At 35.2% G+C, this 18,863-nt stretch overlaps 1 protein-coding gene and 1 non-coding gene across 8 annotated transcripts in view; one reads left to right on the top strand and one right to left on the bottom strand.

Moving 5' to 3' along the window:
- The window catches only part of SCN9A (sodium voltage-gated channel alpha subunit 9), a 180,803-nt gene that overhangs the window by 16,758 nt on the left and 145,182 nt on the right, over positions 1 to 18,863 (top strand). The window lies entirely within an intron of this gene.
- On the bottom strand, positions 397 to 500 carry LOC124906181 (small nucleolar RNA U13). Its single transcript, XR_007088767.1, has one exon. It is a non-coding gene; the product is annotated as a small nucleolar RNA U13 (small nucleolar RNA).

Here is an 18,863-nt window from a genome sequence, read left to right as displayed (position 1 = left end):
TAATCTGGATCTAGTTGGGAAATTGTACACACATAAAAGAGTAATATCTAATAGCACCAACCCTAATACATAATGTTATTTTATGCAAATAGGGTAATTAAAATAGTATGGTGACCTACATAGATAGTTCATTGGAAGAAAATACGATATCCAGAAATAGACATAGTTACATATGAGAATTATAAAGGTAGCATCTTAAATAGGTTGAAAGAAATATTATTTAATAGTTATCATTGGGACACCTGGGTAGTCATGTGGATAAAAATAAATTCAGATTACTGCTTTGCCACCTAACCCAAGATACATTTTAGTGGAATCAAATATTTAAAATAACATACAAACCACAAAACTGCTAGAAGAAAACATGTGAAGGTTTTGTTTTCTTTTTTCTTTTCACCTGAGATGGATAATATATCAATGTCATTACAAGGTTTGAGGGAGGAATATCTCACATATGCATGTGAAAACCCAGTCATCACACTTATGAAGTACTTGAAGTAGAAATTATTTTCTAAGATAATATAAAACACAGGAGCCACTGGAGAAAGGATTGGTGAATTCAATTTAATTAAAATGTAGATGCTTTTAAAAGATAAACTACCATAAACCAAAAGAAACAAAAACAGCAAACTTACAAAAATATTTGTATTGTATACCACAGAAAAAAAGCTAATTTTATTATTTTGTTAAGAGTTCCTAAATTAATAAAACACTGATAGTCTATTAAAAAAGTGGACAAGACTACATACAGACAGAGCACAGAAAAAAAAGCACAAATGGCATCTGAGGATATGAAAAGATCCCTGACCTCACTCACAAAAGAAAATGCAAACTAAAATGATAAGAATTAAGAAGTTTTCGGCCGGGTGTGGTGGCTCATGTTTGTGATCCCAGCACTTTGGGAAGCTGAGATGGGTGGATCACATGAGGTCAGGAGTTGGAGACCAGCCTGGCCAACATGGTGAAAACCTGTCTCTACTAAAGGTACAAAAATTAGCCGGGTGTGGTGGTGGGTACCTCTAATCCGAGCTACTCAGGAGGCTGAGGCAGGAGAACTGCTTGAACCCAGGAGGCAGATGTTGCAGTGAGCTGAGATCGCACCAAGGCACTCCAGCCTGGGCAATGAGAGAGCGACTCCATCTCAAAATAAATAAATAAATAAATAAATAAATAAATAAATAAATAAATAAATAAAAGTTTTATTCCCCACTTATTAGGCTCACAAAGATGAAAAAAAATTTATGAAATACTTTATTGAAGGTATGTGCAAACAATCCCTGACACATTGTTTGGGGAGAGCATGGATTGATAGGCCTTTATGAAGGAGTTACCAATATACCAATAACCTCCTTGGTAGTTTCAAAAGGTGGCATCTTTCCCTGTTTGGTATTGGAGACCCAATACAAGAAATGGGAAAGTGAGCATCAAGCAATGCAAGCTTTATTCGATGGCCAAAGAATGGAGAAGTGCAAGTATGGCGCACAAGCTAACTTCTTGACTAGTGAGGAGTGAGGAAATTGAAATAGAAAGTATATCTAATGAAGAAGTTGGTCATTAAGAGTGAGGGGAGGAATGTTCATGTCTTTTCCAGAAATAGGTGGTGAACTTCTTGGAACCAGAGTGCCGCCTTCCTTTTTGTCCTTTTATGGCTTCTTCTGGTCATTGTCATGGGGATTATCAACTGTCATGGCACTGGTGGGGGTGTCATTTAGCATGAAAATGAGATTATAATGATGCCTGAGGTCTTCTTGAAGTCCTTTAGTCAACTATCTTGGTTCTAAGCAATCTCAGCTGCTCTGGTTACAAATGGAACATTTTACCTGTTTCTTAAAGATCAGCAGAGTTAGGGTAGGATAGAAATTCAGCTATGGCCCTGTAGGCGTTACACTAGGTAACAAAAGAGAATTCGGCAATATTTTATTATGGCAAATTAAAAACGCACATACAATTATGACTCAGCAATTTCACTCTGAAGCATTTGTCTTACAAATAAAATACCGTACTGTGAAACTATTCAAGAGAATGTCCTCACTTATAAGTGAGAGCTAAATGATGAGAACACATGGACACATAGGTGGGAACAACACACACTGGGGCCCATTGGAGGGTGGAGGGTGGCAGGAGGGAGGGGATCAGGAAAAATAACTAATAAGTACTTGGCTTAAGACCTTGGTGATGAAATAAGATGTAGAACAAAACCCTGTAACACAAGTTTCCCTGTGTAACAAACCTGTGCATGTACCCCTGAACTTAAAATAAAAGTTACAAAAAGAGCCCACAAAAGAGTAGGTTAAAAAAAGAAAAAAACTAATGAGAAGATAATTATTGTAGCTTTGGGAAACAACCTAAATGTTCTACAGTGTGGGAATGACTAAATAATTTGGGTACAGCTGTACAATAGGACTTTATGAAGCTGCTATAAAAAGAAGTAGCTTTATACATGCTGATACAGAAAGATTTCCAAGTCTGATTTTTAAGTGACGAAGGAAGGTATGAAACAATGTTTATATAGGGTATTATTTGCATGAAAAGAAAAATGAATAGATGTATACATGCTGATAAAACCACATGGATGGATACACAAGGGGTTGGTACTGTGGTTGTCCACAGGGGAGGAATTTGGATGGCTGGGAAACATTGAAGAGTGAGAGAATTATTTTTCGTTATACATACTTTTGAGTTTTGTGGCTAAATTTATTCTTCAAAAATAAATATAAGAATGCTATTTATGGGGAAAAAATGGGAGTCATAAACCTGCAATTTGGACCTAACTTTTCAACTTAAAAATGTTCTGTTCTTGGAGTTACTAACTGCTCTGATGCTTAGGATGATAATCAAATAATAGTTCCTCTAAAATATGTCTGGAATGAACTTGAATGAATGAATGAATGAATGTTTTTTGCAAACCATTATGTGTGTAAAAATGTAGAGTATTAATATAAGGTTTATTTAGAATAGAGTCATCTGCATTAAAGAAACTTCGTTATACAAAAATCTAAATAAAAAAATGTTGTACAGTAGCTCTGAGGAGGTGGATGACCCAAACACTGAGAAAAGAAAAGAGGCAGAGGCTGAGCAGGATAGTTCAGTTTGAGGTAAAGAAGCAGCCTCACCCAGCCTCAGACAAGACTCCAGGGACTGTGTGAAAAACCTCATTTTGGCCAGGCGCAGTGGCTCACGCCTGTAATCCCAGCATTTTGGGAGGCCAAGGCGGGCAGATCACAAGGTCAAGAGATCAAGACCATCCTGGCCAACATGGTGAAACCCTGTCGCTACTAAAAATACAAAAATTAGCTGGGCGTGGTGGCAGGCACCTATAGTCCCAGCTACTCAGGAGGCTGAGGCAGGAGAATCACTTGAATCCAGGAGGCAGAGGTTATAGTGAGCTGAGATCATGCCACTGCACTCCAGACTGAGAATCTGTCAAAAAAAAAAAAAAATCTCATTTCTAGGCCTATGTTTCCCAGAAATATGTCATGAAAATAAAACTGCCCTCCCAATGGGAAAACATATATATGCACAAAAAGGTAAATATTTTTAATGTTAAAGTTACTGCATAATTCCTTTAAAGAGTAATTATATATTTCTATTCATTTTTGAAAACCAGTTTTAGTAAAGACAAAGTTAAAAGATGACAAACTGGCAAAAGAAAAAAAAAAGAAATTTTTGTGAAAAGGTATCAATATCCTTAGCGTGTGCACACACACCCACACACACACACAATCCCTTGGCAAACAAGAAAATAATGAATATTTCAATAGAAAAAAGATCAAGAGACTAAAGACACTGACCAAAGAAGAACTAGAAATGTTTCACGAAATTCACATTTTAGATAAAAACGTTTTAAATATCAAATTATGAAGTTTTTTTTTAAATGACTATACTTAACATTGTGGGAAAATATATGCTTACATGTTGCTAAAAATGATATACATTTTTATAGCCTTTCTGGAAACATTTTGTCAGTATGTATATATATATAAAAGAAGACAGGTTGGGTGTGGTGGCTCATGCCTGTTATCCCAGTGCTGCCAAGAGGCAGAGGTTGCAGTGATGGAGTGAGCCGAGATCATATCACTGCACTCCAGCCTGGGTGACAGAGAGAGACTCCATTAAAAAAAAAAATTAGCCAGACATAGTGGTGCACACCTGTAGTCCTAGCTACTTGGGAGGCTGAGGTGGGAAGAACACTTGAGCCCATGAGGTTTGGAGGTTGCAGTCAGCTATGATTGCACCACAGCCTGGGTAACAGTAGGAGACATTGTCTCTTTAAAAAAAAAAATCAGTAATTTTCTTGGAATAGGTTAATTTCATTTATTTTTTTCTATGCTTTTCAGTTTTCTAAATTTTCTCCCAATGAAAATTTGCTATATTTATATTCAACCATATTAATAACCCCAAATTAGTCACATGTGCAACTTTCTGCAAATAAATGTGTCTTGGATTTAATGGAAATGAAATCTTTTCAGTATAGCTTCTCCCTGTTATTTGCGTACAAGCTTCAAACTGCATAAACTATTTTAATGGCAAAAATTAAGTTAGGGTTAATCAACCATCTAGGATTGTATCTGTGCCTAGGTTTCTAAAACAATTAAATACTTGATCGCTTTGTTGGATGTTCAAAGATTTGGCAATTTGTCCTTAAATATATGTTTCAAATAAAATATCTACAATTTTAAGGTGCTTAAGTACTGGTGAACATGTCAAAATGTGCCTAATGTATTTTTAAGTTCTGCTGTGAACTTAAAAACTTTGGGATTTGTGTAATCCCAAATTAGAGAATTTTAAACTTTAGTTGGTGTCCACCATATTGTCCCCCTTTTCATCCATCTGACCAAACTTTTAACCTTCCTGTTTATGGCTGGGGAAAAAAAAAGCTACTTTAATTAAACCTAAGCAGATAGTGTTGTTTTTAAATTGTATTTCGATGTCACTAAAATGGGGAAACAGGTTGTAATAGCAGAATCCTTATATTTTTTGCACATATCAGCCTCCATAAAAGGATGGAAATTGCTTTGTTTTTCAATGTTTTAATTTTTTTAATGAGGAGAAAAAGAGCAATTGAGAGTGCCATAAATTAAAGATAGCGTTTCTGATGTAAAATCAATGATAGTTATGGATTATTGTAAATGTTTGAAGATGCTCTTGGAACACTGAAAAATCTTAGAAAATTTTGTTAAATAATAATTAAAATTGTCTTAAATTAGTGTGACATCTATGTTAAAGGCAATATAATTAGATAGCGTGCTTCTTCAAGTGCTTGGGTTAGGAGAAGTATTTCACCATCTTCATTCATCAAGCATTTAACAATTTTATATGATGTGCCAGATATCATGTTATACCTTGGTGATAATACATGCCTAAGACAAATTTCCTGTCTATGAAGTTTGGAATCTAGTTGAAGGAGACAGGCGTGATGAAAGAAATAAAGCACTGTAGAAGTAGGATAAAAATCCGCATTTAGGGGACTGCTGGCAGCTCAAAGCAGACTGGAGATATGGGAGAAAGAGAAGCTGATGAAGGGTTGAATTTATATTTGAGGGAAGGAAGGAGGCGAAGTCAGATCTTTTCATACAAGAGGTATTGAGCCAAATATTACAAAGCAAGTAATCAGGTGATCAGGATAGTTGAAACTGTTCAGATAAAGGGAACATTATGAGGATGCAGAAATTATCTAGCTGACCTTTGGGGAAATTAAACGTAGAATAATGTAGCTGGAATGTAGACTGCAAATAGGGAAACAGAAGAGGCTGTCAGCATCAGGTTAGTAAAACCTTCTATGACAGACCAAAGACATGACAGGTTATTCTGTACATAGTGGGGAGCTGTAGATTATAATTTTTTTTTAGTCATGGGAAGATTATCAAATTTCCTATTGCAGACAAAGGGTCTCTTGTTCATTGAATGAATATTACATAATTTATTCAAACTTGCTTGGTGTTAGGCAACTAAATGTTTTAAGGCATTTTTTTGTAGCACAGCTCTTTTTTCTCTTTTTTTTTTTTTTGGAAACAGGGACTCACTATTTTTGTATTTTTGAAGGGAAGGGGTTTCATCATGTTGGTCAGGCTGGACTTGAACTCCTGACCTCAAGTGATCTGCCCACTTCGGCCTCCCAAAGTGCTGGGATTACAGACATTAGCCACCACGCCCAGAAAGCACAGATCTTTTTTCAAAAGAAATTTGTGATGTTTTAATAAGAAAGAAATTAAAAAAAAAACAGATACAATGGAAAGATATCGATCCTGGAACTTTTAAATCTTGGTTTAGAGAAAACAGTTTATTATTTGAACAACTTCAAACACTCAAGTTAAAAAGCACTAACAAGGCACATCTCACTTGCACAAAAATGATACCAATTATCAATTGTTGGTGGCAACAGAATGGAGCAGCACAGAAATCTGGAGACCCGTTTTCAGTTGAATGCTCATAGTTCTAAAATAGGCTCTGATTTGGAATTCCTTGTCTTACTTTTCAGTTTGATTAACGTGGAAGTCTCAATATCTTCTTATGCTGTGTGTAGGAAAAGTATCTTGATCAGTATATAGAAGAATATCCCACAATGTTACTGCAACTAAGAAAAAATTAACCCATTGGAGAAAACATTTTTAATCAGTTCATTAAGAGTCTAATGAAGGTGCATATACGAAAAGCAAGATGTACTTTAATTAATGATTGATGTTTTGTGATTGAAGCTTGCTTTCCTAAATAATATTTCTATACTTCAGTACAGAATGTAAGGTCCTTGCTAATGCCTTATTTGGTTTCTTAGTTTCAGTCTTACTGCAGTCTGCTTTTATTGTAGGCTTATTACATTTATCACCATCATTAATTTACCATGGTGTTTTATCTTTTTAACTTGTTATTTAGATCACATTGTATAATGCTTTATTTCTGGTCTTGTAGCAAAGGAATGCATACAACAAGCATGTAAAACTTTATTGAATAGAACAGTCTTTAAAGGGGAATCATCCATAAGTCAGATAAATCCATGAGTAGTATAGATTTATCTACTGTAAATTTTCTGTCAGGCTGTTAAAAGTAGGGCCGTGTAAATCTTACTGTCATTCACATTATAATAGGCACACTTACCAATATACCAACTTTATAGTTTTTTCTCCCCATTTTACGGGTTTAGGGCTTATTTTTTTTGAGATGTCAAGTACTATTTTAACATTGTACGTGTTTCTTAAGAAACGCCATAGAATGAAGACAATAGGGAAGTCTATTTGTGATATATTCTAGCTCACTTACATTTTTTACTGTATCTTACAACAGTAAACATATCACACTATACTTGAATTTAAATTTTTTCAAGTATCATTGCATTATTTTGCACATAAACATATTCTTAGATGGTATCAGGTTGATGATGATGAGCTTCATGGTAATTATTTAAAACTCCATAATGAGATTTGTTTCCAATCTAATCAAGAAGGGTAAGAATTTGGGGAAAAAAAATCTGTTCTATAGTAATTAAAGTTAGCCATATGGGCACTTGGCTCTAAAGACTTGGATGTAGTGAATCTACCCAACCCCCAAGACTAATGACTTGGATGGTCTTACTGTATTCTCTTGTCCATAGCAAAGACTGATGAATCCAGCCAGGGAATTCTCCACCAGCTCTGCTTCTCTGAAACCACAAAGTCAGGAAATGTAATCAGAGTGCTCAGCTGAACCAGAGCAAGAGCTTTCCTAATGGCTAACTGTGACTTTAGAAATCACATCCATTAGATAAAGTGATTAAATATACATCAGTCTTTTGGCAAGAGAGCCATGAAGATATTGCAATAGAACCTTACCACATGACCCACATCTTTTGCTTGAAAAAGAAACATGTTTTCACCTTTGACACATATCATCCCTAAATTCCTCAGCTCAGTTGCAGGAAGCAATTTTTTCATGATAAGTTGTATGCAGTTCATAATTTTATATAAACCATAAAGTAATTGTGTGGTTGATAAACTTTATAAGGAAAATGTTTCTGACTTTCTCATTTCACCACCCTGATGTGTGGGTTTTTGTTTTGTATTATTCTTCTTTTTAGGCTTTTCATGCTTCAAGACTTCAAGATATTTTGTTAAATTCTTCCCTTGGAAGCCTTTGTGTCGCCAAATCAGATTTTTTTAAAACTTAGATATGAATGTCTTAAGTGTCTACTTAGGAAATATGTGTGTATGTCTGTGTGTGCGTCTGTGCTTATATATAGAGAGCAGGCAAATTACTCTTAGCACTCTGAAAAAGCTTTTTTTGTTAAAATAATGTTTTAAAAATATTATAAAAAAAGTCACCGTCAAAATAGCATTCGCTTTATATTTGTAGTTGAAATAATTCCTGTTTCTTACTCTTAGTTATAACCATCTTTTGATTAATAATATACTGCCCTTCACATTTTAATACACATGCAACTAAGCCGCTGATGTAATACATATACTTAAAATGTTCTTTTTGAGCTTTGAATAACCTTTTGCCTTTTCCCTGGTGATCACCAGTGGGCAAGATGATTGACAGAGAATGTGTTTACAAACATGGAATCATTGATGACTAAGTTAAAAGTGACCTCATAAAATATAGTTCTAATTCTTATTTACAGACAAAATTCTAAGAGCTCAATTCAATGTGTCTAGGATAATAGTGGGCATAGTTAAATAAATAATAGGAAGTGATTATCATTTACAAAATTTCATTAGTGAATTACTAAAGTATACCCCTATGCATACTAATTCCTCTTCCCCAAATCAAAACTTCTCATATTCTTAAATTTCTGAATTCCTAAAATCAGCAGAGATGAAGGGATGGACCAGCAACTATAATTTTGTTGTGTTTTGTGTTTCTGAGGCACATATAGGGATACCTAGTTTCATGAAACCAAGTGGTGGGGACATTACACACAAAGAGAAAGCTGTTAAAGGCAGAATGCCCAGACAAGAATGAAAATGAAATTCCTGGAGGGGCATCCCCATAGTTTTTCTGATAATCTCTCTCCTTACATAAAAAGCTTGAATTACTGGTAAATTATCCATGCAGGAATAATAGAATCATAGAATTTTTGTAGTATAAGGAATTTTATTGACATCATAGTTGAAAGCAGTCATTTTGTAAATGTTTTTGGTGCCCAGAGATACTTTAATTATGGCAGAGGAAGTTATAGACAAGTCCACGAACCAGGAGTAGAAAAGTTTTCAAATGAGAAATATTGCAGACCAAGCATGTTAATTTTATTTTATTTTTTATTTTTTATTTTTTATTTTTTTTGTGAGAGGGAGTTTCACTCTTGTTGCCCAGGCTGGAGTGCAATGGCGCAATCTTGGCTCGCCACAACCTCCGCCTCCCAGGTTCAAGCAATTCTTCTGCCTCAGCCTCCTGAGTAGCTGGGATTACAGGCATGCCCCACCACGCCTGGCTAATTTTGTATTTTTAGTAGAGACAGGGTTTCTCCATGTTGGTCAGACTGGTCTCGAACTCCCGACTTCAGGTGATCCACCTGCCTCGGCCTTCCAAAGTGCTGGGATTACAGGCGTGAGCCACCATGCCCGGTCTGAGGTATTGTTATATACACGGCAACTCTAGCCTTATAATGCATTGCCCTTATAGTCTACTTAGGGTTTTTAGGAATATTGTGACCTAATTTAAAAGTTTGTAGAGAGATTCTAATTTTCAGAATTAACAGTACTTTCATTTTCTCTGACCATTGAAATACTCCTAAATTGCAAAATGAAGTGGAAGTACACAGTAGATTAGTAAAACATATGGTTCAATGCATAAATTGAAATAAATAAAATGAGACTATTTAGAAAATGATAACAAATACAACAGTAAAAAGAACTCATTACATAACTTTGTGACTTTTTTCTTTTTCTTTCATTGGTTCCTTACATTTTGAACTCTTTCTCACTTTTTCTGTTTCCTTCTTTTTAAAGTAAGGAATAGAGAAAGAGTGTATACAACTGAATAAGTATTTATTGATTACCTTCTATGTACCCCATTGGGCTAAATATGGGAGTAGAAAGATGAATAAGATGGTCACAGCTTGGGGGAGGGTGATTATGTCAAATCATGATGAGAGGAGTTTTTTGTTTGTTTGTTTGTTTGTTTGTTTGTTTTGACGGAGTTTTGCTCTTGTTGCCCATCCTGAAGTGCAATGGCGTGATCTCGGCTCACCGCAATCTCCGCTCCTGGGTTCAAGCGATTCTCCTGCCTCAGCCTTCCGAGGAGCCGGGATTATAAGCACGCGCCACCACGCCCGGCTAATTTTGTATTTTTTTTAGTAGAGATGGAGTTTCTCCATGTTGGTCAGGCTGGTCTTGAACTTCCGACCTCAAGTGATCTGCCCACCTCTGCCTCCCAAAGTGTTGGGATTACAGACGTGAGCCACTGCACCCGGCCACTACTTTGGAGGTTTAAGAAAAGTAGTTGTAGGTTTAAAACTCTTGGACTGGCTCCTGAGGGAAGAATTAAAATGCCCTATTGGAGCATAGCCACCTATCTAGGATCTTGAGTCCTAGATAGGTGGGTGGGAATGAGTATCAGGAAATTGGGCTGGGACCACTTAGGACAGGCCCTTGTGGGTTAATCCCATAAGCTATTGAGAAGCCACTGATGATTTTTTAACAGAAGAGAGATGTGATCAATTTTTAATTACCACTCTGACAGTACTATATATTCTGTGGATAAGACAAAATGAGAGTGGAAACCTAGAGACTTGGAGACCATTGTGATAGTACAGATAAAAGATAAAGAGAAAAAGCAAAGGGAAAGGGTTTAGGGTTGATTTAGAAAGTATAATCAATAGCCCTTGTTGATTAGATGTTACTCTATTCTGAGTTCCCAGGGAGTAAATGGTACTTTTTATTACTAGCACTGGCTACTGACTGGCAATCATTTAAATGAGCGGGTTAAAATAAGAGTATATGAAAAATTAGAGTTTGTGGAACTTGAGGGGCATATCTAGGCTGGAAAATAGCTACTTGTCATTTTTTTTTTTTAATGTTGGAAGACTTTCTATTCTTAGTTTGTAGGAAAAATGTACATGATAATCAACAAACCGTTACACATGTGCTAAGGTGGTATATTAACTAATTTTCATTGGCTCATGAGTTACATGCTACCTGGCATCCTCTTGCCTCTTCCTCTCTGGAGCCACAGATTGTTAGCAGAGAAGCTGGAAGAACCTACCATCTTGCCATAGGAAAAAGGTTTGGTCCTTCTGGAACATGCCTGTGAAAAGTTGCCAATTTCCTATGTAGGTCCTGGACTTATCTGGAATTCAAATATGACTAGACACCATGTATTTTATCTGGCACTCCGATCCTATGTGTTTTTTTTTAAATATTTATCCTCCTTTGTCTCTTCATGACCTTATTATACAAGTTCTAGATCAGAGTGTAACAGCCTCTTTAAATTCTGTGGCATGAACTTTAAATGCCTGTGAAGAATGGGGCTGGGTTACGATTGGCTACCAGTGAATTCCAGGTAATTTAGACACTTCCTGGATTTGTTTTCCGTGTCATCATTTATTGATTACTTCATATAAAGTCTTAATGTGTTTATTACTCAGGAAAAATGATGGAATAGTAGCAGCAATGCCACAGGTGTGTTGTGAACATTAATTAGTTAATTACAAAGCATTTAGTTGAGAGGCATTCTAAATAGCACAGAACTCAAGGCTTTCCTCCCCAACCAGGGGTCCACTTAAATAGCTCTTTACTAAGTCAGGAGAAACAAACACATCTTGTACATGAGGTACATCAACCACTAGGCATGTTGATCTCCCAGGGTGATTTTCTGCATGAAAACCTATCCCCTGGGTGTCAAGAGCTTTCTAAGAGCAATGATTCATGAACCCTCTGGATTTAGGACAATGCTATGAAATTATTTTCATCTGTATTCTGAAATAATTACTTGATGTCCTATTAAAGTATTTTATATTTTTTGCCAGAAGTTGTAGGTGTAATTGGAAACAACAGAATACTCAAAAAAATAAAAGATCCCAAAGGAGAATAAGAAGAAAGAGAGAGAGGAATGGGCTATAAAGACGGCAAGAGTGATGGACCAGTGCCTAAAGATTTTAGACAGACTCTCAAATTTACTCTTCTTATGTTCTCTCTAAACACCATTCTTATTAGTTCAGCATCACTGTAATAACTAAAAATATTTTAAAAAGTGGACAAGGCAGATGTCAGCAAATTGATGTGGAGAAATGGGACAGACACATGGATGACTCACTCCCAGTCCCAATTCCCTATTTTATTTTTTCATTTGAAATATCCATCTCTTCAGAGTTCTGTCTAGTGTGAGGTTCAAACAATTTAAATGCTTTTCTCAAAACTATTGTGCAAATGTCTGTTTTTCTGTATTTTTGTGTCTTTCTGATGTTCCTCTCCTGGCTTTTCACCTACTATCACAAATTACATACTTTATTATGTACTTTTATATATCATATACTTTTCAATGAGCTTGATTCCCACCTGAACCCACGCTTTAGAGAGAACAATGATAGGTTTCTCTGCACCTGCTCCATATTTAGTAAGTTTCCAATTCCTTTTGGTGTCAAACAATAGCAGGTATCTCTGCAGTCCCTTAGGTCACTAATGTGCTTGGTTTTGTTGTCAGGGTAGCAGCTGAACCATATCTTTCACAAACAGGAGATACATATTTTTTCCCAGCTTGAGCAGAGCATCTCACATTTATTAGGAGAAATGCCCCTAGAGGCCCATCTGTGTGTCTTTGACGGCTCAAGTATTATGTACTTTAAGAAGTTTAATACATTTTCTACTGGACAGTATTGAGTTGTTTTAAAATATTAAAATCTTACTTTGCTGAGATAAATAAAAGGTATTCAGGCTTTTCCAAGACAAGTATGAGAAATGCCAAGTTACAACAGGTTCACTAATGAGGGAGAAGAAAAGTTTCATGATAATACTATGATCTTTGCTATTGCATTTGGAATTTAGTTAGACCTAAATAATGAGAAGACTTTTGTGATGATCTATTCAATTTTTATGGCCTATGGTCTTTTTGAGAAATTGATTAAGGCAGGGGAAAGGGGATAGTGGTAGGGCATCACTGACTCTTGTTTTCTTGCTTGTTTACTCTTTTCACGAAGTGGTAATACAAATTACCTCCCACAGCAGCACAGGTTACTCAAAAGCCCAGAGGAGCAGGAGAATGAGACATTCCTTATTCATATTTCAGTAAGGTATTCTTCTCCATCTTTGTTGTTTCAAGGCAGATGACAAAATTTAGTAGCCATTTTAGTGCAGAATACTCCCAAATTCAGGGAGGAAGCTAGATTCAGTTGTTTTTCAGTAATATTGGAAAGTGTAATGTGTAATGCCCATGTTTAAACAGTTGCTTTCTTCCTAACATGATAAACTTCTATCGTTAGAAGATATTCTCTTGGGATGAAAATAAAAAGATATAGCATAGGCCCCGTTTATTTTATTTGGGGAGGAGGTAGTAGTAGCGGAAAATATAACCAGCGATACCATCTTCATTACTAATGATGACAACTTACAACATCAGGAGCTCAGGAAGAAGGAAAGCAATAAATACCTTCATCTTCAACAGGATTTTCTGGCAATTATATCTGTTTTTGTTTGTATGTTTGTTTGTTTTGTCCTCTATTAATTTGAAATGCCTAGATTGTTTTTCTGGAACTTAGTTTTATATCAATCAATAAACCCCTTTTCCCTACTTTTTTTTGTTACTTTTTTTCAAGAGCATACTGACCTCAACGTGGTGAAAGTTTTCAAAAGAGGCGGATATAAGCTTAAAACCTGCCTCTGCCCACTCCTGATCTATCTCAAATGAACATCTGTAACTCTCCATGAATTAAAATGAGGATAATAACATGTTCTAATTGTTATAGAAAAAATTACATTTGTAGCACAGGGTAGCTGCTTTATGCATATTTTTTTCTAAGTTATGCACACCACAATTCAGTACTAATTTTGTCATGATGTCCTGAAGAAATCCTAAAAATAGAGATTCTGTGAAAGAACATTGAGTACCACATAATCAAGATATATATGTCTTGATTCATTGATTGATTCATTCATTCAGGGCATTATATAGCAGTCATTTTTTTGCTACCCTTCCACATGGATGATAGTTAAAGACTCTACTGAAGCCACTAGATACCCATCTTATACACAGGCTGTAATATTTTAACTCCTGGAGTAATTGGGGTATATTCACAATAAAATCAGCTCAAATCTAATTTATTTCTTTCATGAGGTCTGAAATGTAGTCAAAGCTTCCATTTAGTTCCTCGAGAAAAAGCTTCTGGCAAAGATAACAAAGGACATGATTCAAATGCTTTCTGTCTTACACTGCTGCTTCACATCAGGGGCAGAGGATTTTATGTTTCATGGCCTTCTCCTCCCACATATTTTGGGTTTTCTCATCTAATCATACAGCTATGATGTCAGTGATGGAAATTTCCACCTCTTAGTTTGGTATCTTGATTGTTTTTTCTTTCCCTGTTTGCACAAAGGATTGTAGGTGGCTTTCCAGAAAAGAGACATGAAAAGGATCACTAAAAGGAGCTTCAAAACAAATTAGATTATTTGTTGTGGGGAGAAAAATCATAGCAGCAGGAAATTTCATTGTGCCTTTTACACAAGATCTAACATGCTGATGAATTGCTAGTATAATGATGATTTATAGAGCTGAGTTTCTTTTGACCAAGCCCAGTACTCTTGCAAGGTTAAACAATTCTAATGGCGGATGACTTGAAGGACTATTTTCTAAGCGAATGTACAAATTACAAGTCCTTAGTTTCGTAAGATGCTGTTTCATCAAAGGCTTTTCTTTGTGGTTTCTCATATTTCATATTCATGTTGACTCCCAGGTGATAGTTAATGGTATCTTTTTTAGTAGTGCTATTATCAGCTTCAAATGAAATAATAGATAATAAAAAGCCTTATTATTAATGTCATATTTTGATATATTTTTAACTTTATAAGGCTTTTTAGTATTATTAATGTCATATTTTGATATACTTTTAACCTTATACTTCATTTATTCTAAGTAATGTGATGTGATCAATAATTTTTCAATTAAGTACTTTTCTTTTTGTCTGTGCTAGTTTAGTTTAGTTGATTGGAATATGATGTTACTGTAACTAAAGCAAAGTTTGGATTCCTGTAAAAAGACTTAGCATTTCTCCATAGAAAGGCATATGTACTTTTAGATAATTCTCCATGATCCTAATCTGTTATCTCACAAGTAAAGAATTGACACTTAGCATTTTGAGATTTAATATGTATTGAGTGGTTCTTGTGCTTTGCCCCTCTACTCACTTTACATTATAAAGCATCTACATAAAATGATTTGTACATTATCTATTGTAATGCACACAATAATATAATGAAGATGGGGATAATTGCTATCTCCACTTTTTCTTTTCTTTTCTTTTCTTTTCTTTTTTTGAAACACAATCTCACTCTGTCTCCCAGGCTGAGTGCAGTGGCACAGTCACAGTTCACTGCAACCTCCATCCCCAGGGGCTCAAGCAAACATCCTGTCTCAGCCTCTTGAGTAGCTGAGATCCACTCCCCTCGGCCTCCCAAAGTGCTGGGATTATAGGCATGAGCCATCACACCTGGCCTTCCACTTTTTCAATGAGGAAACCGTGGTTTAGAGAAGTAAAGACATGTTATCACATGCAACAAGAAAAAAACAGAACTGCAATTCAAATCAGGTTCTTTCTCATAGTTCTTAATACCATCCTATAGTCCTCAAACCAAAGGTTCCCTCTTGCTTGACTTTGAGATGATGTATAGAATCACTCTTGAAATAAAATAAATATTTTATTTAATTTTTTTCTTTTTCCCAGAAAAGTAATCTAGTATTTTGTATCAATCAAAAACTTCTATTTTGAAAATACAAGCATTCCTAGTTCTATAAAATATCAACATATGTAAAGTCTCCTAAAAGCTTTGGGTTTTTATATGTGAAGCCTTTACTTCTGTTTTCTTTTTGAAATAAAACATTGATTAGAATTCTAAATAGGTTATCACAAATCTATAATTTTTTTCCTATAAAACAAGCAAAGTATATGACAAAAAAATCGGTGCTCTTTTTTCACCTCACCAAGAAAATTAGTGTAATTATTTCATATGAATAAGACTTTTTACCTGCACTACATTATTTAGTTAATTTTACAGGCTCTAGAAAGATGTTATGCAAGAGAAGACATTTCAATTAATCTGATGTTGAAAGAATGCTAGTTTTAAAACTCAATGCACTCTATGTGCTAAAAACGTTTTTGCAGCATGAAGGTAGGGATGGACAGGGACATGTTTGCCTGAGTTCTCCAGGGAAGCTTTGGTGGTGGATGTATGCAAAGGGCATAATCTGTGGTTTCCAAAGTTGAATATGCACACCTAAGAACAATGCTGGAAGAGCTTTGTCTTCATTCTTATCTTTAAAAGTTTCAATTTTATTCAAGATCAAGGTAATGATAGATTTAAAAAATAATGATAAAATAAAAAATAGTTTCAATTTTGTGTATATTTTTAAATGCATATGTTTTACACTGCATGTGTAGATTGTTTATAATTTAGCAAGCATATAAATTCATTTATTGGGAGATCTTTTATTATTATTGGTATTGCTATTATTGAGCTGGTAAGGGTGATGATCAAAAATAATTGGAGACTCTATTCTAAACGTGAGGTAGAAAATTTTCTCTGACTCTAATGGTTTAATCTTTAAAAAACAGTTTAAGCCACACTATAATTAAAGCCATAATGTTTGTAACACTTAATTATAAGGATGGAAAACTTGGTCCTATAGATATTATCACCTTAAGGAAAGGCAGGAAAGCTAACTGCAGTAGTTGACCATTGGCACATTGAAGGGGTCATGACTGGCCTGCAGTGTCAAAAAGTGACCAAACAGGGACATCTCCATATGGCATTCATTGACTAGATTGGTTCTATTACTGATTGAAGTCATTTGTGTTTTTTGTACAAACTTTAAATAGCCCAAAGATTCTAAACGATTTTAAAGTAAATGCAATATATTATTAGTATTATATAGTCTATACATACGTGCTGATGTGTTTGTGCGCTTTTCTCTATTTATAGGGCATCATAATTTCTCAAATATAAGGTATAATATAATCAGGACAAGACTTGGGAACAACATAGTATACATAATAATCACATAGTTATTATTTTGACAAACATTTATGCCACACATGCAGAAACACAAGTCTGCAACCCTCCCTATGTATTGACATTATTCTGCAAGTATGCTTACAAAACAATATAAGAGAGATCAGAATATCCTAGTATTCTTAAGGTTAAAACCGAAACCTTTCTTGTATTTCCTGAATGAAATGACAGATTAATGTTATTGATGAAATGAATATGGCTTGGCTTCCTTGAGACACAGGCTGTTAGTAAAAAAGCAATTAAGAAAATAATAAAGAAATGAAACAGCAATTCCTCTTCCTTTTTCCTTTCTTCTGTACTGTGTCATAGCAAAAGTAATATAATAGCAACTAATTATAGGAAATCTCCCAGACTTTGTAATTGGATCTTTCATTTTTTCCCACAGCAACTGTGAACTAAGAATTTATTCACAGAGCAGCTGTAGTTTGTTTCCAGTAACTCTTAGCAGTGTCTCTTTGTGGAGTCTTAAAGAGACCCATGTACATATTTAGGCATATTGGCTAAACTAGTGCCTTTTAAAACATCTGCAGGTCTATTGTTGCCAATTCTTTCATTGTCTTCTATCAAATTAACTTTTCTTAGACGGTATAAAGTGGGAGAAGCCACTGAACTCAAAGCTCAAAGCCTGACTTCTGGTCATAGCTTCAATGTTTCCTTAAACATGACTTGGTAACAAGCACCAAACTTTGTAAATCTCAATGTCACCTTTGGTAAGAAAAATGAAAGGAATCTTTGCAGTTTATATTTTAGAGCATTGCTATATGTGAAAGAGCTGTGAAAATTATAAACCAGTGTAACTCACCATGTCATTATATAGATATGTCTAAGTTATTCTTGAATGTGAAATTTCCATTTGCTTGACAAATGTCACTCTATTACATACATGATAGTTAAAAGCATCTTATTTTCCATTTGTTCCCCAGCCCAGTTTTCAACTTTTCTTCTAAAAAGGTAAGGTCAATTAAGAGATATTTCCAAAGGAAATAGTTCTTTAGAAAATACTTTAGTATATCAATGCACATAATAATACAAAGAAATGCAGTTATAAAAATAAAATATAGAATAAATACACAGCTACCATATTCTTGGCATATATTTGTACATGAAGAAATAAACTTCAAAGCCAGGCAGGACGGCTCATGCCTGCAATCCCAGCACTTTGGGAGGCTGAGGTGGGTGGATCACTTGAGCCCAGGAGTTCAAGACCAGCCGGGGCAACATAGTAAGACCCCATTTCTATAAAAAATAGACAAAACTTAGCCGGGTGTTGTGGCGCCTGCCTGCAGTCCTAGCTACTTGAGAGGCTGAGGTGGGAGGGTCACTTGAATCCCAGAGGTGGAGGCTGCAGTGAGCTGTCAATGCACTACTGCACTACAGCCTGGGTGACACAGAAATACACTATCAAAAAAGAAAGAAGAGAAAGGAAAGAAAGAAAGAAAAAGAAAGAAAGAAAGAAAGAAAGAAAGAAAGAAAGAAAGAAAGAAAGAAAGAAAGAAAGAAAGGGAAAGAAAAGAAAGGAGAGAGGGAAGGAAGGAAAAGAAAGAAAGAAAGAAAAAAAGAAAGAGAAAGAAAGAAAACGTTGTGATATGATTAGAGGACTAAGTCTTAACGATTAGAAGCCTGATTTTTAAAAAATTCAAAAACCAAGAATCAGTAGTAGTAGTTGAGAAAGTAAAA

This window comes from Homo sapiens, chromosome 2 (assembly GCF_000001405.40).
Source record: "Homo sapiens chromosome 2, GRCh38.p14 Primary Assembly".
In the NCBI taxonomy this organism is placed as follows: domain Eukaryota; kingdom Metazoa; phylum Chordata; class Mammalia; order Primates; family Hominidae; genus Homo; species Homo sapiens.
The sequence above is the reverse complement of the archived record's forward strand: the minus strand, read 5'-3'. Positions and strand labels throughout refer to the sequence as shown.